General features: G+C 36.7%; 1 protein-coding gene across 21 annotated transcripts in view; it reads right to left on the bottom strand.

Moving 5' to 3' along the window:
* Nucleotides 1-26158, bottom strand: part of TANC2 (tetratricopeptide repeat, ankyrin repeat and coiled-coil containing 2) — a 461469-nt gene that overhangs the window by 283388 nt on the left and 151923 nt on the right. The window lies entirely within an intron of this gene.

Raw genomic sequence — 26158 nt, 5'->3', positions numbered from 1 at the left:
GGACTCTCATATGAACCTTTCCTATCCCTATTTATCATAGTGAACAACTGTAGAAATGAAAAAACGATTCATTTCATCTAAGCAAAAAGGCAACATTACATAGTTTCACCATTTTTAAGATTAACACAGCAATTATATCCATTTAAAAAATATTGAAATCTACCTAGTCAGCAACAACTCGTAGCATATGGTCTCAATATAAACACAGGCCCCACTAGAATATATACCATAAAGAATACAGAGCTAAGTGTGGAGAAAATATTCTGACTTTGAGTCTATTGAAAATTTAGCATTTGAATATTAAATTCTAGAATTTTTTCTTTTTTTTAAAGACAGGGTCTCACTATGTTGTTCAGGCTGGTTTCAAACTCCTGGACTCAGGCAATCCTCCTGCCTCAGCCTCCCAAAGTGCCAGGATTACAGGTGAGAGCCCCTGTACCCAGCAAAATGTGAATATTAAATTCTTTTAAAGAAAGTACTTATCACCTAAAGACTTTTATACTAACTCCTAATAATGAAAATAAAACAAAAACTCTAAAGTAACCAGAGCCAAATAACTGAAATGTCATCATTTAAAATCTATAAATAATTCAATAAGGGATGAAATAACTATATACTAATAGTGACACAGCAAATTGTTACAAAGAAATAGCAAAAATAATGGAATTTGAGAAGGTATACTAGCATATTTACCTGCAGGTAACAATTTCAAAACATGTATTATAACAAATATATTAATAAAGTTTTCTACTGATTAAAATAAAGAGGTTGTGATATCAGAGCTAAATGCTTTTCTGTATTTAGTCATTTCTTGTTCAGAAGTTATAGCTGTGAAATATAAATTGATAATTTTATACACAGGCAAATATTGCTAAAAGCTCTAGAATAATTATGACATTCCTATTTAATTTTTCATCTTTATCTCCTTCTTTAAACATTTCATAAAAAATGTGACATAACAAAGGCCCCACTCTCTACTAGAAATGTTACTATGTAATAAATAAGAAAAGAGGCATCATGATAACTTTTTAAGGATTAGCATAATCATCTGAGAGTATTGGGATACTTCACAAACATGAAAACTCAGATGTGTTAAAAATGCAAATTTGGTGCTACATGAAATTTTCACATACAAATAATGACAGTTTAAATGAAAATTATTTTGTTAGAAACCTGCAATAACTATTTGTAAACCAATTCCATAAAACATATGAGCTGTTCCCTTCAATTCAATGAATGCTTCTGTGTTCCTACCATGTGCACAGAGCAGTAAGAAATGCTTCAGGGGATTCAAACATAATTAAGACAGTGTCCAGCCTAAAGGAACTTAATGAGGGGGTAAGACAGAAGAAGAACAGCTATGATACAAACAGGAGAAAGCCAAGTGCCATGAAAATGGGACAAAACATAGGCTACACAATTTAAAGAGAAAAATGTATTGCAGATGCCCCCCAACTCATCGGAGTTTAATATATGTTAATTTTCTATTAACAATTGGAATTATAAGGTGATTTTAAGAAACTCGTTTCAGAAGACCCATTAATTTCACTAATTTATCTTTTTTTAAAGTTTCATGAAAATTTTATGGTTACAACAATTGAAAAATAACTGGAGAAAAACATGCTCACAGCTTATGTCTTTAAAAATTTGGAAAGCACAAATTAAACCCCAAATCAGGCAGAAAAATAAAACCATAAAGATTAAAGCAGAACTCAATGAAACAGCAAATAAACTTATTTGCTTTTCAGAGGAAAATGATGAAACGAGAATTTAATTCTTTGAAAAGATAAACAAAATAGAAAAAACTTACTCTAGACTGACAAAGAGAAACAGCAAAACATGAACTATCAAATTAGGAATAAAAATGGGGCCATCACTATTGACTCTGCAGAAACGTAAAGGACTATAAGGGCATATTAATAACAACTTTAAGCCAACAAATTTGATAACTTAGATGAAATGGGCAAATTCACAGAAAGACACAAATTATCAAAACTCATTCATTAAGACATGGAAAAATCTGAATAGATTTATAACAAGTAAATAAACTGAATTAGTAATTAAACATCTTACCACAAAAAAGCCCAGTCTCAGTTGTCACCACTGGTGAATCCTAACAACTGCCTTAAGAAGAAATAATAGCACTCCTTTACAAACTCCACCAGAAAATTAAGAAAGAAGTTGGGACAGGAGCAAGTGACTTAGAAAATCAAGTTACTTCAGATATATGTGGCTAGACTTTATACCAACAGTGTATAAGAAATCTGTAGCAATGTCTGGCTTATGAATTTAGTTTGTTCTAACTTAGTTCAATCAATTAAAATAAATATCATCACACTTTGCCTTGTTTTAAAAATTAATGATACCATTTTAATGTTTATCAAGTAAAAAAGTTTAAAAACTTTTTCCAACATTACATCTATAGACGGTAGTTTTCTTATAGAGCTTTATACAAACTTTTAATTTTGCTCTGATCTTATTTGGCACTCAAATAAGAATTAAATGTAACAATTTTTTTTAAAATGAGTATTTAAATGGAAGAGAAAACATCCCTAAATTTTGTTTTAGAAAGACTGATGAAATGGGATCATTCTGTTGGGTCTTATAGATGGCCTATTTCTTTTAGTTAGTGATGCAAAACTTCTTGCTAGAGCCCAGTTCTAATGTGAGGTACACAGCTCTAAAAACAATTACCTCACTTTCAAAAAAAGCTATGTAACGACAAATAAAAATACTTTTTTTTTTTTCTTGAGACAGAGTCTCGCTCTGTCACCCAGGCTGAAGTGCAGTGGCACAATCTAGGCTCACTGCAACCTCACCTTCTGGGTTCATGCAATTCTCCCACCTCAGCCTCTGGAGTAGCTGGGATTACAGCTGTGCACCACCATGCCGGGCTAATTTTTTTTTTTTTTTTTTTTTTTTTTTTTTTTTTTTTTAGTAGAAACGGGGTTTTAGCATGTTGGCCAGGCTGGTCTTGAACTCCTGACCTCAAGTGATCCGCAAACACTGGCCTCCCAAAGTGCTGGGATTACAGGCATGAGCCACCACACCCAGCCTATTTTATACTTTTATTTAAATTTTTACCTAAGCTCATTCGACCTTTGTAATTTTTCTATGTAAAATACATTAATCCTGTTTTGCAGATGGGAAAACAGAATCATAAGATCTCTTGTCCAAGATTACAGTAATTAAGTGGTAGATCACAGATTCATATCCTGATATTTTGATTTCAAATATTATAATATTTCATTTATAATACTCTTCCTGGGCAGGCATGGTGGCTTGCGCCTGTAATCCCAGCACTTTGGGAGGCCAAGGCAGGTGAATCACTTGAGGTCAGGAGTTCAAGACCAGCCTGGCCAACATGGCGAAACCCCATCTCTACTAAAACTACAAAAATTAGCCAGGTGTAGTGGTGGTGAGGGCCTGTAGTCCCAGCTACTCGGGAGGCTGCAGCAGCAGAATTGCTAGAACCTGGGAAGCAGAGGATGCAATGAGCCAAGATGGTGCCTCTACACACAGCCTGGGCAACAAAGCGACACTCTGTCTCAAAAACAAAACAAAAAACTGTTTCTCAAGGTATGGGACTGATTTTAGGATGTAAAAGATGATTTAAAATCATCCATAAAAACGGCAGTAAATAGCACTGAATTACATAGCGCAGTGGGCATTACTAGTGCCCACCAATATCCTGGTCTCCATTCCCTTCTAGGCAGAGGGGTGACTACAATTACCAGCTGTTGTGCAGTTTAGAAGACTAGTTTGAGCCAATGAAATAAAAGCAGAAGTGACATAGTCCCTGCATGATTCTACAGTGTATCTCTTCCTCTGACAGAAAAATCATGATGAAAGTCTCACGTTGAGATAGTGAAACTACAAGATTGAAGCAGCAATAAAGGACAGCTGCCCTGGAGAGTTGCCAACATTTGTTGGGTGAATTAGAAACCAACATTTGTTGTATGAATCTGCTGCCATTTTAAAGATGGTTTGTTATGGCAATATAGTTTAGCCTATTCTGACTAATGAAATTGCTACAAAAGTTACTCTTTTCAATTATCTGTCAATCCTTCTGAATCTGTCAAGAAGAAAATTTTAATGTGCGGCTAGTATCAGCTAATCCTCCTTTTTAACAGAGAGAGTTGAGCTTCAGAATCATTTGAAGGTTTAAGTAGCCAGATTAATGTTCTAGTTAATCTTCTAGTTATGTTCATGATATTGATTTTCTAGTTTGACTAGTAGTATAAAGTTTCTTTAAAAGTAAATTATTTAAACAAAAGCATGAAATTCCAAGAAAATATTAGGTTAAACAAAAAGTAGTTATAATCAGGTGGGGCAAAAATCATGAAAATCCTATACCAAATGAATGAAATTAAGAAACAGTGCAGGTACCAACATGTATTTCTTTCTTTCTTGAGATAGGGTCTTGCTCTGTCACCCTGGCTGAAGTGCAGTAGTGTGATCACAGCTCGCTGCAGCCTTGACCTCCTGGGATCAAGTGATCCTCCTACCTCTGCCTCCTGAGTAGCTGGCGTTACAGGCGCATGCCACCACACCCAGCTAATTTATAAAAATGTTTTGTACAGACAGGGTCTCACTATGTTGCCCAGGCTGATCTCAAACTCCTTGCTTCAAGCAATACTCCTCAGCCTCCCAAAGTGCTGGGATTATAGGCATGAACCACCACGCCCAGTGGCCAAACTCTATTTCATCATACACAGTCTCGCTCTTGTTGCCCAGGCTAGAATGCAGTGGTATGATTTTGGCTCACTGTAACCTCCACCTGTCAGGATCAAACAAGTAGCTGGGACTACAGGCCTGTGCCACCAAGCCCGATTAATTTTTTTGTATTTTTAGTAGAGATGAGGTTTTGTCATGTTGGCCAGGATGGTCTGGAATTCCTGAGCTCAAGCAACCACCCACTTCTGCCTCCCATAGTGCTGGGAATACAGGAGTGAGCCACTGCACCCGGCCAAACTCTATTTCAATAGAGCAACTTGACTTAATTCTCCATTTTCTGTCTAGTTTGTGTTGAGTTATAAGCAAAACATTTAGGCAAGTGCATTTAAGTTGGTGTTCAGTATGAAGGACACAAGTGGCATTACAGTCATGACTGGAATACTGGTTAGGTAATAAGAGAATTGGGAGATAACAAGTATAAACAGAGAAAGTAATAAGTTAAAAAAAGACTTCTCATATGAACAGACATAATTATTTGAGCAATCTAGTCATTTGATGAGATAGATAATCAGAGCAGTCTCCTCTTAAAAAATTTTTGCCATCTTTTCAGAAGGGCCAATCCAGTTCTCTATACTTTTAATAGCCTTCAATTCCACGGATGGCATAGTCAGAGGTCAAAAGTGAAGAAAGAGGAAGCACAGACTGAATCTGTGTGTGGTACACACGTGTAATCTGTGAAGAATCTATGTCCATGGTTACAATGCAGCTTCGTAACTTAGACAAGTGTGGTATGTCAATACAGAAAAGCTGTAGTTACTGTATTAAAGTGAGAGTAAATCATGAGGTCATTCTTGAAAGCTTTAGAGTGGGTTCTCACTCAAAGTTTCTAAATTGTGTTACCACACTTTGAAATATGTGAAGGATTTTATCATGACCAAACCTGGCACAGAAAGAAAAATCTTTTAAAAACATGTTTCTGATCATTAAGAAAGAGAAAGGAAAAGATAGGTAAGATGGTGAAGAGACGTATTTCATTTCAGAGGATAGAAGAAGAATACAGATTGACAAGAAGGGACAGGATATGCAAGTACACAGCCTAAAGTAGCCCTTCCAACAACCGTCCAAGCAGAACAAGGGCTATTAGCACTAATACAAAAGAAAGAAAGCAATGTTTTCATCTTAATGAACTGTTTGAGAAAGACTGAAGTTTCTCAAGCTCAATTTCAGCCTATGTATTTATAAAAATTATGGTCCTCTCACAAAGATGTATCACTACAGTTACAGTACAATTATGTTTTCTCCTCGTATTAGGGTAGGCCAAGAGCTGAAACAAACAACTTTATCTCAGTAGCCCAATACAATAGATTTCTCATTCAATATGCGTATTCAGTAGGAAGCTTCTTTCTATAATGTAGTTCCAACAGTATCTTACAGCCCCAGAGTTCTTTGTTGGATTCTCTGCATCCAGAGACGCAGGGGGTGGGAGGGGGAAGGGTCTTTTACAAATTGCACATGTAAAGTTTCTGAACTTTGCGAAACGTCTGGAACTGGAACACATTGTTTCCAATCATACCTCCTTCAAGCTCAGTCATGTGACACACTTAAGTGCAAGGAAAGCTGGAATATGCAGTTACATGCAGTTTACCCATATGCCCAGGAAAAATGGAGAACAGGTTTTATAAAAAGATAGTATTCTTTGCTATACTCTATATAATACCTTGGACACTCATAAAAATGAGATGCAGAGCTAATAAAGTAGCAGATCCTGTATTAAATTTAGCCCTCTTTCTTTCAAATGGGCTGAATATACATCATCAGGACCTAAGATCAACCTAAATTTATTTATTTATTTCCAGACTTTTTTCATCAAATATAATGCTTTATATTACAATGCCTAGAATAGTATCTGGCATATGATAGCTGGTTAATCATTATTTGTTAATTGAATAGTATAGAGAATCAAAGCAAAGACAGACATTACAAATAAGAGTTTTACTATACAAAGTGAGTCTTAAAAAGCGCTCATGGATAAAACAAATCTTTGTCACCTGAGAAACACAGAGAGGCTTTCATGAAACAAACAGATTATATAAACTATCTTCATTATAATGACTACAACCATTTAATTTCTAGCTTTAATGACTGGATTCTTTTCTATAAAAGATATCCAACAAAATACACTGAGAACAAAGAAGAATTACAAGGGAAACACATTTGAAAAGAAAAGACACTTTAGCTGTGTATTGGCTCTTTCACATTGAGGGATATTTGAAGTATACAACACAAAAGAAATCAACATCTTCTTTATGCCTTACTTTTAACAGTCAGGCCAAGTAGCTGGTTCCTGGCCCTCCAAAGCAGGTAAGTCAATTGTGGATCAGTTTGTCCTTCTGAACTTACTTTTAAGCTCTATTTAGGCAGGTATGGAGTAATTTTTTACTCTGAGGCTAGTTTAGCCTTACTACTAATGTGTGTTCTTACTTGGATCTCTACTGAATGCTCCAGGTTTTTAACAAGATCTTTCTGGTCAGAATGAAAAAAAATAAAAAATAAAAAATAAAAATCTCCCATTCCTGTTGGGACTCTAGGAATTGTTCAGTTCTTTCTTTAGCCTCGTGGAGTCTCATTGCACATCTCTGAAACTCAGTATTAAAGATGCAAAAGAACCCCTCTGCAGAGTTCTGCAGTTGTCTCGGATTAGCTCTGTCCTCAGTACTCTGTAACTTCTGGTTGCCCTTGCCGCCTCAATCTCTGATCTCAATTCAGCAAGACTGTCATTCTCTGCTAGAGTTCTCCACAGTCAGAATACCTTGTGTCAGAAAGCCAGGATTCATCTAGTTCTTGTCACCCTCAACCCACGCCCTTTCTCTCAGGGATCACATTACCATGCTGTCAATTATCCAATGTCTGAAAACAGTTGTTTCTGGTGGGAAGGCAAGTCCGTTACTGGTAAATTCATCATAGTAGGAAGAAGCCTCTCATTGTTATTTTAATTTGCATTTTCTATATGTTTATTATTCAGACTGTGGCTGACAAAAGGTAGAGCCTTTGTCTGTTTTATATACTGCTATATCCTTAGTACTGCCTATAATAGTGCCAGGCACAGAGCAAGTACTATTACTTGTTGAATGAATTAACTAGTTTACATTTGTGTAGATATTTATAGAGGTATAAGTGATCTGTTCATGTCCTTCATCTATTTAGAACTTAAGGCCTAAGAAAACTGGGGATTCCAAGCTGTATCCAAGGTAACTCAGAATAAGTATGTTCCTTCTACATAAGTTCTATTTTCATGCAATTATGTTGTGCCACATAAAAGGATATACCAGACACATTGATATACAGATAGAACATAGAAGCAATAAATATGGAGACAACATACTGATCCAAAGAAACAGTTACTCAAAAAATGACCACAATAACTTAGGATATTCCTACAGACATTACTTCAATGGGATTTTGAATAACTTAAAGAAATTCTCATTTCAAGAAGAAACTGAGATTTAAATCTTCATTTATCTGTAAATCTTTATCTTATAAGGAAATAGGCAAATTACTATGGCCTGCAACTGTTGTAAATGACATCTCTTTACAGCAGTGAATAGCAAAACTCAGTGTATGAGATAAAATAAGGCAGTGTAAATTTCAATTACCTATTTTATTATTTTTGCATATACAAATCAATAATCTGAGCTCAGAAAAGCCTTTTAAACGTGCTAAGCTGAAACACAATACTCAACTGCCAATAAGTTTAACGTTATTAGGTTTCATTTCCGTATATCTAAAGAGTACTAGGTTTTTGACAATATAAAAAGGAGTTCCAAATTTCAAAGTTTGGATATATTGGCTAATACGTGATTACTGCTTTACTGACACGAGCAATTCTAACTGTTTGTCAGACCAACTTCTGAGTTTTAAAGTAGCTATGATAAATAACTCCATTAAAATTTAAGGTATTATATAAACATGGTTCATCATAGGAAAAATAAAATATATAAGAGAAAATGGTGTAAATAAAATTTACCAGAAATCCTATCTCTGTTAAAATTTTGTAATATATGGCCTTCCTATTTTTAAATTTTATATAAAGTATTACTGTCAACAAAAAAAAAGCTAAAAGTGATTGATGACTTCTCTTTCAAATGTATGGCTTTTGAAAGGAATATTGAGAACCTAAAAGTGGAAGGAAATTCACTGATCAACATTTTATGAGTTGCATCACTATTATTAAGATGAATATTAGCACTGTCTTTCTTTGTTGAGTAACTCTCACCTTCTCAATAAATATCTCAAAATAGATTTTACATATTTAACTTACATATTTACAAATTCAATCTATGCAACAGTACATAACAGATAGTGATATGACTGTAAGGTATGAGGCAAGATGTACTTGTTTTTGTGGGGTTTTTTGCTTTTTATTTTTAGCTAGGGTCTCACTCTGTCGCCCAGGCTGGTGCAGTGGCACAAGCATGGCTCACTGCAGTCTTGACCTCTTGGGTTCAAGTAATCCTCCCATCTCAGCCTCCCAAGTAGCTGGGACCACAGGCGCATGCTACCACACCCAGCTAATGTTTAAATTTTTTGTAGAGATGGATCTCACTATGTTGCCCAGGCTGGTCTCGAACTCCTGGCCTCAAGCAATCCTCCTGCCTCGGCCTCCCAAACTGCTAGGTGTGCGCCACAGTAACAGGCTAGATGTTCTTGTGTTGTCAAAATTGTTAGTATGCCCCCTAAATTGGAAGAAAAAAATCTTTTCCAGCATCTTTCAAGATAGAAATATTACATATGTATTATCTTCTCTTATTTATGTGGAGTATGATAAAAGAAATTATAGGATAAAGTAAAAAACACAGTAACTGAATGGAGGGGCTTTTAAGCAAGACTTGTGCTACACAGCCTATCATGTAGTCTTCAACCAATTATTTAACTTTTCCAAGCTTGGATTCCTTGTCTTTAAAATGTGAGCCATAATCTGAGTTGTTCTGATAATTAAATTTATAGGGTAAAATATAGATAAGACTAAAAAATAATTAGTATTTATTTTTCTTTGGTAATAGACAGCTGAAGTATAATGCATTACTCAAGGCCACAGACCAAGTTACCCTGGAACAGAAACTAAAATATGGATCTTGGACTCATGATTTAGTGATCATGTACACAACAGATGCTCTGTATACATCTTTAAGCTAAGTGGCCTATGTAATTATTATAATAATATGCCACTCACCTCTCAAGGTAAAAGATTTAAATGAACATATTTCTGTAAAATTAGCATAGTGCCTTGCATATATAATGTGCTCAATGCTAGGTGTTATTAGTATATAATGACCATGGTAGTGGGGGTGGTGATATGACAGGCAATAGAGGAACATGGAGACATACCAACAAAATTATAAGAAGTTGGTCAGAATGTTTGGCATCTAGAGCGGATGAAAAATTACAAGAAGTAATTTACTCACGCTTCTTACCTCAGTTATGTCTGTCCCTTTCCCCACCTCTCCCCACAAGAAGGATAACTGCTATTTAATAGGTGAAAGTTACTCCCTTGCGTGGAATACATATTATAACAGGATACTAGTACAAGTGCTCTTGTATGTTTAACAGGGAAAAGTACAATATGTTGGATAAGAGGTGTTTGTATGAATGCTAGAAACCAGTTCCTTTTTGAATATTTTACCAACTATGATTTAAAATCATGCTAAGTTGGTTTAGCATGATTTAAAATCATGCTAATGTTGGATTTATGATTCTGGTTTTATAAATTTGCAGTACAAATTCTACCCATTCTATGTGTAGGAATCATCAAACTCTACTAGATTATAAACTGTTTTAAGGCAGGGGCTTTAGGAAAATCATCTCAGAATAGTGTTTTGAGAATAATACACAATGCACTCATGTTGCTGTTTTCCATTTTGCATTAGCTGTCAATAATGGCTGAAAATATGCTGACTAGGTAAAATTACATAAATTCCTTGCAAACATAGTTTTACATATAATAAAGAACTGAGGAAGAAACAGACTTGGACTGGAAGCAAGTATATAACAGTGAGCCATCATTTACTGACAATTCCAAATTGAGTTCTCCATGGCAGACCCAAAAGATCTTGCATTAACAAAGAAAACAAAAAGAATTATGGAAGGTTATTCCATTTTTTTTTTTCTTTTTCGAAACTTCAGGATAGTAAGCTGAAGAAGATCCTAGTCAATCAACGTGGGAAGTAAAAAACTACTGGCCAGGCGCGGTGGCTCACGCCTGTAATCCCAGCACTGTGGGAGGCAGAGGCGGGTGGATCACAAGATCAGGAGTTTGAGACCAGCCTGGCCAATATGGTGAAACCCAGTCTCTACTAAAAATACAAAAATTAGCCAGGCGTGGTGGCACACACCTGTAATCCCAGCACTGTGGGAGGCAGAGGCGGGTGGATCACAAGATCATGAGTTTGAGACCAGCCTGGCCAATATGGTGAAACCCAGTCTCTACTAAAAATACAAAAATTAGCCAGGCGTGGTGGCACACACCTGTAATCTCAGCTGCTTGGGAGACTGAGGCAGGAGAATCGCTTGAACCCAGAAGGCGGAGGTTGCAGTGAGCCGAGATTGCGCCACTGCCCTCCAGCCTGAGAGACAGAACAAGCATCCATCTCAAAAAACAAAAAACAAAAAAAACCCCTGCTACTATTTGCATATATGTGAACATTGTGCCAGTACTGTAACACAATTCTGTAAGGATAAATTAAAAACAAAGTGAGTCTTTGTCTCATAGACTAAAATGACTATTGAGGCATTTTCAAAGATTAAGTGTGAAGGCCAGTAGCTTTCCGGCTTGTTGCTGGAATGTGCAGTTGCTACTAAATCACAACAGAGAATACTTAGTAATTCTAACCCTGAGTAAAGAATCATATTTCTCTGACCTTAGAATATTTGTCAGAAATTTCTATTATTTGTAAGAGGACAAGTTGCTTTTCAATCTCCCTAAAACCCTGGTATAATCTGGCTAGCAGAGAAGAGGGAAGATAAGAAGATGATTAATTCCTGAGACAAACAGGGTATAGAAAGCTCTGGTGGAAAGTAAACCATGAAAAAAGAGAGCTAGCTGGAGAGACAGAACTAGCATTCTGCCAGAGAAGGCTTTGATTTAGGGGTAGAAGCAGGAATTTTTATTCTGGCTTTCCTTAAATACACAAAGGCATGAGATACTGTTTGCCTTACTCTTCTTGGTTGTATGGTAGCAAGAGGGTGTTCTATAAATACTTAAAAAGTAGATGCTGATTTGGCTCAGAGGTCTTTCTTTTGTTGGGTTTTCATAAATCTCTTGCCACCTCTGGTTTTTAAACTAAATAAAATATATTGCTCTATTCATCACATTATTTTGTTTAAGATTCGAAAAAAAAAAATCCTAGTAGTAGGATAGAGGTAGAAGCAGTGCTGCAAAATATTGTAAAGAGGAATGGAAGCTAAACAGCAAATCTCAATAGAAATAAATCGATACATCTTCTTGTGATTTCTGTCATTTTACTAATGTAACACTGTATGGTAAAGAGAAAAACAGAATTACCTAAAGCCTGGAACAACAAATGTTAAGGAGGAAAACAATAAAACCAAAGTTTTTATAAGATTGGGCACTAAAGCTAGATTTAAGCTGAATGTATGCACTCCAATGCATAAATATTTCCATGGCTAGAAACAAATAACTTTAGAAAGTTTCAGTGTTTATGAAAGACAAAAATCTCAAAATCCTATTGAGGAGGTTCTGCTCCTGCATTCAATAGCTTTCAAATCTTGATGGAACCCTGGAGCTCATGTAGGCTGGCGAGTCTTACAGTGTGGCCTATGGACCAGCATCACCTGGAAACTTGTTCAAAGTGCAGGTTCTCAGGCACCACACTAAAATGACTGTGTCAGAAACTCTGAGGGTGGGGCACAGCAATCTGTGTTTTAACAAGTCCTTTAAATGATAATATGAAATGATATTACTTTCAAACTTGAAAGCTGGTTATGTTTACTTAAATATCCGTTAATACTGGATATTTGGATCAGTCTTGTGATGAAAGCAAATTTACATTCCAACCTAAGCAACTGGTGTAATGTAGAAAAAAAAAAAAACCAAAGTAATTGTTTTAAACAGTAATAACGATGTGATATTTGGTAAGAAATACATGTTTTATCCTCCCCTTTTTTTCTGGGAGTGGAATGGGATTGTTCAGAAAGAAACCAACATGATCAACCAACAAGTGATCCCAACCTCTTTCTTTGCCCAGACCAGCTTTTATTTTACATCTGCAGCAGCAGAGCCTCAGAATTTCTACATGACAATTTTTAAAGTCTAGATTTTATTATGATTAGGTTTTAGTTTGCATACTGATGTAACAGTAATTACATTATTCTTGCCATTAAATATTTTACTTTATGAAACTGTGCTGTGAACTTAAAAACTGTGGTGGAGAATCAGTCTTATATTTCTGTTGTTATACTACAACACAGTCCACAGTAATTTGCTTAGAGCTATTTTCTTTTAGGTAAACTCTATTTAGACACAATTCTTGAAAAGCCTTTCCTGTGTTTCCATGCAGTGTTTTTGGTCTTGTGATCTGCCTCATGTTTCTCAGTTTCAGCTCCCTGAATCTTCACTGATGCTGGTTGACTCTTATAAACTCTGCTAAACTCACTTTCCCACAACTCTGAAGGAATAAAGTTAATGTGCTTTGTTTTTGGATTCCTGAAAAACAAAATGTTTATTATCCAGGGATTTTAGTGGTGTCTTTGCATATCAAGGTAAGATGCAGTAAGGTATGTATATTACCACAAGCAGCTCTAAATTTAGTGTTTACTAAACTTACTGAATCAGAGCTTTAAATTCTCAGGGGAGCCTCAAGGCAGAATAAACTACTTTGCCCTTAATAAAGGATATGTATAATTGTGTAGTAGTAATAACCACAATAAAACTCTTTATTATACAGACTCAATTATAATAAAGTTTAGGTTAGACTATGCCCCTTGAAATGTAAATATGCAGTAAACTAACAGATAAAGTGATTGTCAACACTAACTCCTATCAGGAAAGGAATTAACAAAACAGCAAATAAAAGATAGTAAATTGGTTTTTAAATCTTTTTTTTTTTTTTGTGAGATGGAGTCTCACTCTGTCACCGAGGCTGGAGTGCAGTGGTACAATCTTGGCTCACTGCAATCTCTGTCTTCCAGGTTCAAGCGATTCTCCTGCCTCAGCCTCCCAAGTAGCTGGGACTACAGGTGTGCACCACCACGCCCAGCTAATTTTTGTATTTTTAGTAGAGCTGGGGTTTCACCATGTTGGCCAGGCTGGTCTTGGTCAACTCCTGACCTCAGGCAATCCACCCGGCTTGGCCTCATAAGGTGCTGGGATTACAGGTGTGAGCCACTGAGCCGGCCAAGTAAATTGTTTTATTGTGCTACCTAAATAACAACAAAAATGATTAAGATGAGAGAAACAATTAAGTTGGATACTGGAGAGGAAATATAAATAGCCTTCCCAGCTTTATTTCTTATTTTATAACTCTATACATCTATAAGAAGATTACTATAAAGAAAAGATAAGGTGGTGATTATAATTTTTTTGATCTAATTGGACTCATCATTAAAACAGGTAAAATACCGTATATATGAAGCCAACTTTCTTGCTCATAGTTGTTCTTACGTGTTGTTGTCCATAAGTGTACTTTAGTAAATCTATCACATACTTCTATAAAAGTTTTCAAAATTATTACATTATTAATAATAAAGATCACTTAAAAGTTTTGAATGTCTATGAGCATACACAGATGATGTAATATTCAGTGCTCATCATATGCACACAATTTCTTATTTTATAACTGTATAGATATATAAGATTACTATAAAGAAAATATAAGGTGGTGATTATAATTTATTTTTCTAATCTAATTGGACTCATCATTACAACAGGTAAAATACTATAGATATGAAGCCAACTTTCTTGCTCATAGTTGTTCTCATGTACAGCTACTTATGTTCAGCCTCCCAAGTAGCTGGGACTACAGGTGTGCACCACCACACCCAGCTAATTTTTGTATTTTTAGTATTTTTAGTAGAGATGGGGTTTCATCATATTGGCCAGGCTGGTCTTAAACTCCTGACCTCAGGAGTTAAGCACATTGCTAAGCACTTGACATACACTGTTCATCTTCATAACATTCTTATGAGGTAGCTACTCTTGTTATGCACATTTTATAAGAGAGGAAATTGAAACTTGGAAAATGTGAATAACATGTAAAAAACTCACACAGCTAATAAGTGGTAACGCTGGAACCTGAACCTTGTATGTCTTACTACAAAGTCTAGGTACTGCTGGGCATGGTGCCTGTATTCCCAGCACTTTGGGAGGCCGAGGCAGGAGGTCTGCTTGGGCCCAGGAGTTTACCACCAGACGGGGCAGCACAGTGAGATCTCATCTCTACAAAAGTTAAAATTAAAAAAAAAATCAGCCGGACACATGGTGTAGCATCTGTAGTCCCAGCTATTTTGGAGGCTGAGGTGGGAGGATCCCTGGAGATTGTGGCTGCAGTGTGAGCCATCCAGCCTGGGTGACAGAGCGAGACCCTGGCTCAAAAAAACAAACAAAAAACCCCACAAAGTCTGGCTACTTAACTACTTCTATAAACCGTCCGTAAGTATGCAACTGAACCAAGAAGAACATAAGATTCTTTACACATAGCTCTCTAGTTTGAGAGGGCATTTAGTAGGCTCAACAGATAGGAATGACACGTTACTAAACACAAATTTCCACTCACAATTAAATTTTGACCTAAGTCATATACAGACAAGACCATAATTCACAGGTCTATTCCACAAATTCTCCTGAGAATAATTTGTGGTTTTTCTCAGGATTCTCCCAAACTTGGTCAGGGCTACCGAAAAATATGAAGGTAATATATACAGAAGTCCTCTTATCCTACACCGACAGGGACTAGTAGCGGATTGGTTTTTCTAAAATGTTGCAAATGAGCAAAGAAAAAGTTGGTACATGTATTAAACACTTTCCCTTAAAATATAAATGTACATTTATTAAACAAACTCTTGCTGTAAGGCCAAGGCCTTTTGTTTGAATATGAATTCCAACTTTTCTTTTTTGTGTAAACTGCACTAAAATGTATAATCTAGTCAATTTTTTCAAAATAAACCAAATCTTAGACAACCTAAGTAAAGACAGATTTTTAAAATACCTTCACCCAAATTCACTGAAAATTTATTTTTAATTTTTGGGGGTACGCAGTAGGCATATACATTTGTGGGGCGTATGAGTTATTTTGATACAGGCATATAATGTGTAATAATCACATCAGGATAAATGGGGTATCTATCACCTCAAGCATTTATCCTATGTGTTAGAAACAACCCAATTATGTTCTTTTAGTTATTTTAAAATGTACAATTATTATTGAGTAGTCATCCAGTTACAGCATTTTTTTAGCACCTTACTTTTATTGATATTGAGTTTTTCCAAAGCTTTTAACATAATTTTCCTAGAAACTCTTTTATAGGTGCTTTCTTTCTGTATTTGTATCTAACATATACATAATTTAATTATATTATCATAATAAGAAGTACAATGGGCATTAACTTAACTGCCTCTCATTAAGTAAGCACAGGCCACCACAGGAATAACAGAAGTACCCAGGTGCATTAGAAGGTAGCCTACTGGCCTCTAATATACATCTTGTCCTGACAACAGTCAGTAGGTGTCACAAAGGGAATGAAAACTTTAATCCTGCAAGTGATTAGGGGAAGGTCAGTTAAGAAATCTTCTCTTCTAACTGGTAGAGTTAGCTCACAGTGTGCAGGGCATGGTAATATGCAGAACGCAAATAAAATGAGAAAGGTCTGAGAAGTCTAACAACATTTTCATATGCCACCATGCTTGTAAGGCACTAATTGTCAATATTTAGATTTGGAAATAAAGCAGAGTATAAAATCCTGCCAGTTTCTTATGGTGACTAATGAGAGCCAGTGCCCATAACTGAAAGGACCATGATGGAGTAAGAAATTAAAGCATGAATAGATTTTCATAAAGAAATCATTTCTACTTTGTCACATTTCAGTCTCTAATCTATACAATTTTTGTGACATTTTACTAGCTATTTTCTCAATAATAAATGATTTGGGAAGTAAAGTGTCAAAAGCATAAGAGAAACATAAAACTATTTTGGACAGATGAACCTTGATAAGAAATGTCTTTTCAAAATCCAAGGCATAATCTGGAAAAATTATATAATTAGAATTAAAGTCAAATTAAAATTAAGTTAGAAGTAGAAGAGGTAGCTCATAGTTCAATGTCACATTGTATAAACAAATGAAATATCATTTAAAATAAGTATAAACTAGACTAGACATTAATATATCTACAAAAATGGTTCATTAAAGCAATGATTTATCCCCAGAATGGAGAAGGGTAGAAAATATTAGACATTTAGTACCATAAGAAGAATTCCTTATTGAACACAACAGAGAATACCCAGCGGTAATAACAAGAAAAAACAGCAAATTTTAATCGCAGTGTTGACAAGCTAAATCTGTCCATTTTTTGGTACTTAAAAATGAGAAACTTAGTCATAACTGCAGTATGTCCCCAGCCTCAGGCTTAGGTAAGCAGTACCTTATATATCAGCAGTACCTTTTACATTATAACCTTTCAGTAATAAGCTTTAAAAACAGGTCAAAATCAGCATGAAGAGAGCTATTTCTTTCTTTTCTAGGCACTATAATACTGTTAGAGTCCTAAGAATCAGTGGGGGGTGGGGAGGTAAAAGGAACGTGACTCATGTGTCATACTTACTTCTAGCCTCAGTTGTAAAGTGTTTACCATCACAAGTCTGATCAATAAATAAAACAGTGAGTCACAAATTTTCAAGATCTCACTTTAATAAAACCTTAGTGAGTCGGGCATGGTGGCTCATGCTTGTAATCCCAACACTTTGGGAGGCCGAGGCAGGCTGATCACCTGAGGCTAGGAATTCAAGACCAGCCTGGCCAACACAGTGAAACTCCATCTCTATTAAAAAATAAAAAAATCAGCCAGTGTGGTGGCATGCACCTGTAGTCCCAGCTACTTGGGAGGCTGAGGCAGGAGAATCGCTTGAACCCAGGAGGTGGAGGTTGCAAGTGAGCCGAGACTGCACCACTACACTCCAGCCTGGGCGACAGAAGAAGACTCCGTCAAAAAACAACAGCAGCAACAACTAAACCCCCCACTAAAAAAACCTTAGTGAGTAAAGGCTCTTAACATCATAATAGTGTTATCTGCTTTGGCCTGCTTAGCCGAAGGCATTCAAGCTAAGAATATTATTGAAGCTCTAGGTAAGTGCAGGATGTTTTATTGATTTATTCAGTAAATATTTATTGAACATCTACTATATGCCAGGCATTGTGCTAAAGACTGAGGATATAATAATAAAAAGGACAAATACTCTCTCTCCCTTTTAGGGAGACAAGACGTAAACCACACAAATACTAAATAATAACAGCAATAATTGAGCACTTATTGTGATCAAAACTGTTCAAAGTCATTCACTCATGTAATCCTCATAATAACCCTAGGAAGTAGTAGGTACTATTACTACCTGCTTTTTGCAGATGCGGAAACTGAGGGAGAGGTTAAGTTACTTGCCCAAGGACACAGAAGTAAGGCATATCAGTCAGAATTCAAATCCAGGCAGTCTGGCTCCAGAGTACACAAACTATGTAAGATAAGCTTACGCTACATTATATTGCTAACTAATTTAAAACTTAAATTTGTAATAAATGCTAAGATGAAAAGGCCTGCTGTGTACTGAATGTATAATTTTACCACAATTATATCAAAGCTTCTCATTATATCATAACAATGTGACAATATATTTATCATACTTTTTTGGTAAAGGGTTCTTTTAAATAAAACAAGGAAGGAGAAACTACATACTTATCAAGTGTTTTGGACTGAATATGAAACCAGTTCCCACAGGAAGTAATATAAACTCACAATGAAATACTCTGAACATTAATGGTTACAATATTACTGTTATCAGGAGAGGACACCACCAGTATCCATTTGACAGCAAGATGTTTTCTAAATCCAGGCATGTTTATATTGTCATATAAATTTAAGCCTTCTGATTCAAGTTGTAACTACTCTCTGCTCACTTAAAAAACTCAGCCTACCTAGTAAAGGTAAAAAACGGCTTCCCTTCTCAACAAAGAAAAAAAGGAAAAGTACACAGGACTTTAAAGAAAGGTATAGAGAGATACATAGGATCATGCAGTTGCTATTAAGTGACAGCATCATCATCAACTATCATTATTGGACAGTTACTATGTACTAGAGGCTGTTGTAAGCATTTTTCCTGTAAAAATTCCTTTAATTCTTACAAATCCTAAGGGAGTTGTTATACTCATTTCACAGATGAGGAAACTGAAGCACAGAGAAGTTATACAACTTGCCCAACGTCACACTGCTAGTAAGCGCAGGATCTGAACTATTACATCATATTGCAGGAGTTAAGGTAAAACAGTTAACTGCTTTAGGGATCCTTTCAGCTATCTTAACGAGAAATTTACTGGAGTAAGGATGTTGAATGGAGAAAGAGAAACATTTCATTTTTAAAAGTCTTAAAGAGTCCTATGTATCAGTGGTCCCCAATCTTTTGGGCACCAGAGACCCATTTTGCGGAAGACAATTTTTGTTGGGGGTGGGGATGGTTTTGAGATGTAACTGTTCCACCTCAGATCATCAGGCGTTAGAGTCTCATAAGGGGCAAGCAACCTAGATCCCTCAGATGTGCATTTCATAATAGGGTTCATGCTCCTGTGAGAATCTAGTGCCTCTGCTGATCTGACAGGAGGCGGAGCTCAAGCAGTAATGCTTGCTCGCCTGCAGGCTCACATCCTGCTGTGCCGCCCAGTTCCTAATAGGCCACGGACTGGTACTAGTCTGCAGCCTGAGCGTTGGGGATCCCTGCTACATGTGACTATATATCACAGACACCAAAAAGCAATTAGAACTCTAAGAAGTGTATTTGACTGTAAGTTTCTCATTAAATGCTTCCTTCTCCCACCGATTTTATGTAGCCTCTCTCTTTCTTTCTCCTCTTTAATGAAACAGAATACAAATATTTGCCAAATGTAGACCACTGCAGCTAAGAGTTTGGACTACAGTTCAGGAGAGCAAAAGGCAGAATCATATGTCAAGAAAATCATGATCCTAGTCACTCAAACGGTTCCAAGCCTCAGTTTCCAGCAAAAGTTACACCATCTTGGTTCCTTCAATATCTTTCATACTGCTCCTTATTCATCTCATTTGTTTTTTAAAGTGGGTTTTTCTCTTTTGGTCCCTTAGGTTGTATTTCTTAAGATTTACTTCTTGATCCCCGAGAACAGATACTGAAGTTAGAGAGAGGTCTAAGTTGGAGCTCTGATCTCTTATGCCTAAATTCTTCATGGTTAGCCTGATTAGGTCTTGTTTTCTTCATAAATAAGATTAGGGCCATAATAATTCAAAGTGCCAACGAAAAGACAAAATGAGTAAACATGAAAATTCCTCGTAAATTCTTATGAAATATTTACTTTCTACCTTTTCTATTTGTTCAATTCGCATCCTAAAGAGACCTTATGGCCGGGCGCTGTGGCTCATGCCTGTGATCCCAGCACTTTGGGAGGCCAAGGCGGGTGGATCACAAGGTCAGACATTCAAGACCAGCCTGGCCAAGATGGTGAAACCCCATCTCTACTAAAAATAAAAAAAATCAGCTGGGCGTGGTGGCAGGTACCTGTAATCCCAGCTACTCGGGAGGCTGAGGCAGAGAATTGCTTGAACTCAGGAGGCAGAGGTTGCAGTGAGCAGAGGTTGCAGTGAGCCAAGATAGTGTCACTGGACTCTAGCCTGGGTGACAGCGAGGCTCCATCTCAAAAAAAAAAAAAAAAAAAAAAAGATTTTACCTACTCTACAGTTTTAACTATACTCTCTACGGGTATAACTTCCAAATTTACAGCTTAAAACCTTACTTATTTTCAAAGTGCTGAAAACACATTTCCCCTTTTTCTTTTTTTTTTTTTGAGACAGAATCTCACCTTGTCGCCCAGGCTGGAGTGCAGTGGCGCAATCTCGGCTCACTGCAAGCTCCGCCTCCCGGGTTCAAGCAACTCTCCTGCCTCAGCCTCCCCAGCAGCTGGGACCACAGGCGCCAGCCATCACATCTGGCTAATTTTTTTTGTATTTTTAGTAGAGACAGGATTCCACTGCGCCAGCCAGTATGGTCTTGATCTCCTGACCTTGTGATCCGCCCGCCTCAGCCTCCCAAAGTGCTGGGATTACAGGCGTGAGCCACCGCGCCTGGCCCACATTTCCCCTCTTATATCGTCCTACCACCCTGAACTCAATGTCTATCAATCTCTTAAAATCAGCTATCTGTCTAAGCTTTTCCTATTAGCAAAGCCATCATTTTTCTTCTTAAAATTGTATAATCATCTTTGGCAGATCTTTCATATTCCTGTACTCTATAGCTGGCCAGTCACCAATCTGCTTATTCCTCCAAAATCTTTTTCTCTTTATACATTTTCCATGGCTACCATGTTAGGTTATCACTGCCCTAATGGCTTCGTCATTTTGGTCCCAGTTGTCTCTTCCAGAGCATCCTTCATGAAACCTCTGTTCCAGACAAACTGATTTATTTACCACTTGAATGCATTTTGTACACTTTTGCTTCTGAGATTTTACTTAAGTCACTTTACCATTTTACTTTCTAGTCTACATAATAAACAATATTTTCTCCAATTTAAAAAACACACTCATCTTTAAAATATTAAAGCAAAGTATAATTTATCTGGGGAATCTGAGTAAATTATGTTTCCATAATCTTCTGTTTTTGTTTTGTTTCTTTTTTGAGATACAGTCTCACTCTGTCGCCCAGGCTGGAGTACAGTGGTGTGATCTCGGCTCACTATAACCTCTACCTCCCAGGTTTCAAGTGATTCTTGTGCCACCCAAGTAGCTGGGATTACAGGCATGCACCACCATGCCTGGCTAAGTTTTGTATTTTTAGTAGAGACGGGGTTTCACCATGTTGACCAGGCTGGTCTCAAACTCCTGACCTCAAGTAATCCACCTGCCTTGGCTTCCCAAAGTGCTGGGATTACAGGCATGAGCCACTAGACCCAGCCATGTTTCCATATCTTCTGGAGTGCTAAGATGATTTCTTTCATACTTCATTTTGTGCAGTTAACCACTCTTCTTTCCTTCTAAATGACATAACTTTCTTTGGTCAGTTATTTCCTAAAGCATGCTCCTTGGAACACTTACTTGTTCCACATGGTTTTGCAGGGGCATGTAAGAAATAAAGTGTCTGCTGTCAAGTTTTAGAGATGCTAGATTAAACAATTAAAAAGTTCCCTTTATTGTAGGACTTCTCAGGCTTTAAAATGCTAAACCGTTTCTCTATCATCATTCTTCTCTAGTTCCGACATGAAATATTCCTTTCTCATCCCACTACAGCTTAACTCAACTTCAAACCACTATTCACTTTTTTGAACTGAGTAAGCCTTCCAGATTCAACCAGATTGAGTTTTTCATCCTTGCCTCTTGATTCTCAATCTCTTTCTCCAGGGAAATATGCACCCTCCCCTCCCCCTCTTCCCCCCTCCCCCCGCAAGAGATGAAGTCTCACTCTGTGGCCCAGGCTACAGTGCAGTGGTACAATCACAGCTCACTGCATCCTAGAACTCCTGGGCTCAAGCGATCCTCCCACCTCAGCCTCCCAAGTAGCTGGGACTACAGGCATATGTATGCCACCACACCCAGCTAATTAGAATTTCTATTTTTAAAATGATACCCAGACCCGATGATCTAAGTAGCATGTCTTCAACTGGGGAATACATATAGGTGAGGAGTATTATGTTGGGGTATGCAAATTTATAGGAGAAAATGTAGTATATTTTCCTGAAGAGTGAGTTTTACTTAAAGATTTTTTTGGGAAACATTTTTATTATAAAATAAAAATACATGTAGAATGTACACAGTTTTAAAGAAATATGAGATTTGCAAGAAATTTCCAGGTTTCCTTTTGGGTACCACTTCAGGCTACATCCCAGATCCCTTTGGTAAGTATTCAAATGCCTTTGCCTTAAAGGAGCTCCCAAAGAAAAGTCCAAAAATCACTGATGTAGGCCAATGGAGAGGAATGGGGGGAAAGTAAGTATCAAAGACTAAGAGAATGCTTCCCCTGTGTCAAGTACTATACTAGATGCTTTATCTATATATTTTTCTTAATGCCTACAATGACACTACAAAAATGCACTACTTCATTCATCTTATAGAAGAGAAACCTCACAGAAGTTAACCTGTCCTAAGCTGCAAAGTTTACAGTGGTAAAAATGTTTTCTTACATAATGTTGGAGTGATAAAAAACACACATTTATCACCGAAATATTATGATTAATTCCCATGAGAAAAAATAGCTAGGATGACTAGAAATGACCCTTTTAAAATAATTTATCACCAATAGGAGTCCTTCATGTCTTAATGTAGACTCTAACAGAAATGAGGTATTTATTTTCTAATAAAAGCTTATTACTAACAAATTCCCAGATATTCAGAAGTGTTATTAGGACAACATGTTTAAGTTTCAGTTAGTGAAAACCAGGGGAAAAAACCTAAGAGTTTACATTTGAAATTGTTATATTCTATTCACTAGCACATTCCCTCCCCCCAAAAAAGTAACGCCTACTATTAACTAAGATTTTACCCAGTTGTATGTTATATGAACAATATTGAATAGTTTTTTTTTTTTTTTTTTTTTTTTTTTTGAGACAGGGTCTCATACTGTCACCCAGGCTGGAATGCAATGAAGTAATCACGGCTCACTACAACTTTACCTTCCCAGCCTCAGGCGATTCTCCTACCTAAACCTCCCAAGCAGCTGGGACCAGAGGTGTGCACCACCATGCCTGGATAATTTTTTGTATTTTTTGTAAAGACAGGGTTTCACCATTTGCCCAGGCTGGTCTCCAACTCCTGAGCTCAAGCAATCCACCCACATCAGCCTCCCAAAGTGGTGGGATTACAAGCATGAGTCACCACCTGGCCTTGAAAAGACTTTTTAAAGAATTTCAGAAAGTAAGATGGAAGTTGTCAAACTAGTTTGAAATTGAGGGGCTAAATGATCATCCAAAGTATTAAGTCTTATTTTTTTCATAGAACTCTGCCAGTTAAATCTGCAACTTGAATTTTTACATGCTGAAATAAACTGGATGGCCTTTAAGAAAACCTAACATACATACAGATTCACCAAATCAGCATAATAGGGATTATTATAAAAGGACTTACTGCAGCATCTCTTAAAATAGGGAGGTCTATAGTGGATTTTACATTAGCCAGTTTACAAACAAACAAATAGGTTAATATACAATCTTTAAGGAATATATAATAAGATCCCAAACATAAAAAAAAAATACCAAAGGATATGGTCAAGAAAGATTACTTGAAAATGAATAAATCTGCTAATAAAAATACTAACCTCATTAAAAAGTACCTAAACCAGTCTTTGTTATTAATTTTTTTTTTTTTTATGAGACAGAGTCTTGCTCTGTTGCCCAGGGTCTCACTATGTCACTTGGTCTGGAGTGCAGTGGAGTGATAGTGGAGTGATCATGGGTCACTGCAGCCTCAACCTCCCAGGCTTAGGTGATTCTCCTGCCTCAGCCTCCCAAGTAGCTGGGACCAGAGGCATGTGCAATCATGCCTGGCTAATTTTTTAAAAAAATTATTTGTAGAGATGGGGTCTCCTTGTGCTGCCCAGGCTAGTCTTGAACTCCTGGCCTCAAGGGATCTTCCCATCTCAGCCTCACAAAGTGCTGGAATTACAGGTGTGAGCCATGGCACCCGGCCTCTTTGCTACTGTTAATAAAAATTATAGTTTCAGAGATAATGGATATATAAAATCCTTTGTTTCTATACATACATGTGTGAGGATAGTCATAAAGAAGCATTAACTTATAATGTACACAATTATTAAATATACATAAAATTTAAAATTCCTATTTTATTTACTTGCAGAGCAATAGTTAAAATGTGAATATTTATTTGATCCGTTATAGATGACGGAAGCAAAATCTTGTTATTAATGACATATATAACTGTTAATACAAATGATTAACCCTTTCATTATCCCTTAACATATTAATTCTCCCTATTTAAAGGCTTTCTAAACATTGGGCAAAGGCACTTGTATAAACAGATAGGCAAAGTCTCAAAAATGGAAGAAGGAATAGAAATTGAATGGTATAATGACAAAATAACAAAAATCTTCTTTTGCTAATTGTGTAAATTAAAATAACCTAGTCATATCACTGACGTATATATTTTCCAAATAAAGTGCATTTCAGAAGAGCAACTCAGACTGGGAGCCACAGCTCATACCTGTAATCCCAGCACTTGGGGAGGCCAAGGTGGGAGGACTGCTTGAGCCCAAGTTTGAGATCAGCCTAGGCAACATGAGACTTCATCTCTATAAAAATGTTTTAAAAAAATTAGTTGGAGGGCCGGGTGTGGTGGCTCACTCCTGTAATCCCAGCACTTTGGGAGGCTGGGGTGGGCGGATCACGGGGTCAGGAGATCGAGACCATCCCTGGCTAACATGGTGAAACCCCATCTCTACTAAAAATACAAAAATTAGCCGGGCGTGGTGGTGGGCGCCTGTAGTCCTAGCTACTCAGGAGGCTGAGGCAGGAGTATGGTGTGAACCCGGGAGGCAGAGCTTGCAGCAGTGAGCTGAGTTCGCACCACTACACTCCAGCCTGGGCGACAGAGCGAGACTCTGTCTCAAAAAAAAAAAAAAAAAAAAATTAGTTGGATATGGTGGCACATGCCTGTAGTCCAAGCTACTCAATAGGGTGAGGGAGGAGGATGGCTTGAGCCTGGGAGGTCGAGGCTGCAGCAAGCCATCATTGCACCACTGCACTCCAACCTGGGCAACCCTGTCTCAATCAATCAATAAATCAATAAGAGCAACTTAGGAAGACAAGTAATTGAAAGAATAAGACTAAATGAAAATATCTTTTTCTTTTTTGAAGTGGCTGAAGATCACTACAAATATCCTAATTTTGAAAAACCAAGTTCCTACTTTCAAGACATTTCTAAGTTACCATGGTTAGCTGAGGAACTAAAAAGAGAAAATAATTAAAAGCCAGAAAACAAAGAGTCTTTTAAGAAAAGTCAGTATATAAAATCAATATATCTTGTTGATAATTACCAAATGATCTAAAAATACAAGTAAACAAAGGTAAATTTCTAATTTAGTCTAAACTCAACTGAGAAAATAAGACAATAAATATCATAACTTGCAAATTGTGTTGTTAAAAAAAATTCTTAAACTAAGAAAGTCCATTTGTAAACACTCCAGTTAATGAAATAACAAGAATGATTTTATGTATTAAGAAAGCTTGTTTACAAAATTCTAGATTT

This window comes from Homo sapiens, chromosome 17 (genome assembly GCF_000001405.40).
Source record: "Homo sapiens chromosome 17, GRCh38.p14 Primary Assembly".
In the NCBI taxonomy this organism is placed as follows: Eukaryota; Metazoa; Chordata; class Mammalia; order Primates; family Hominidae; genus Homo; species Homo sapiens.
This window is presented reverse-complemented; position numbering and strand designations above follow the sequence as displayed.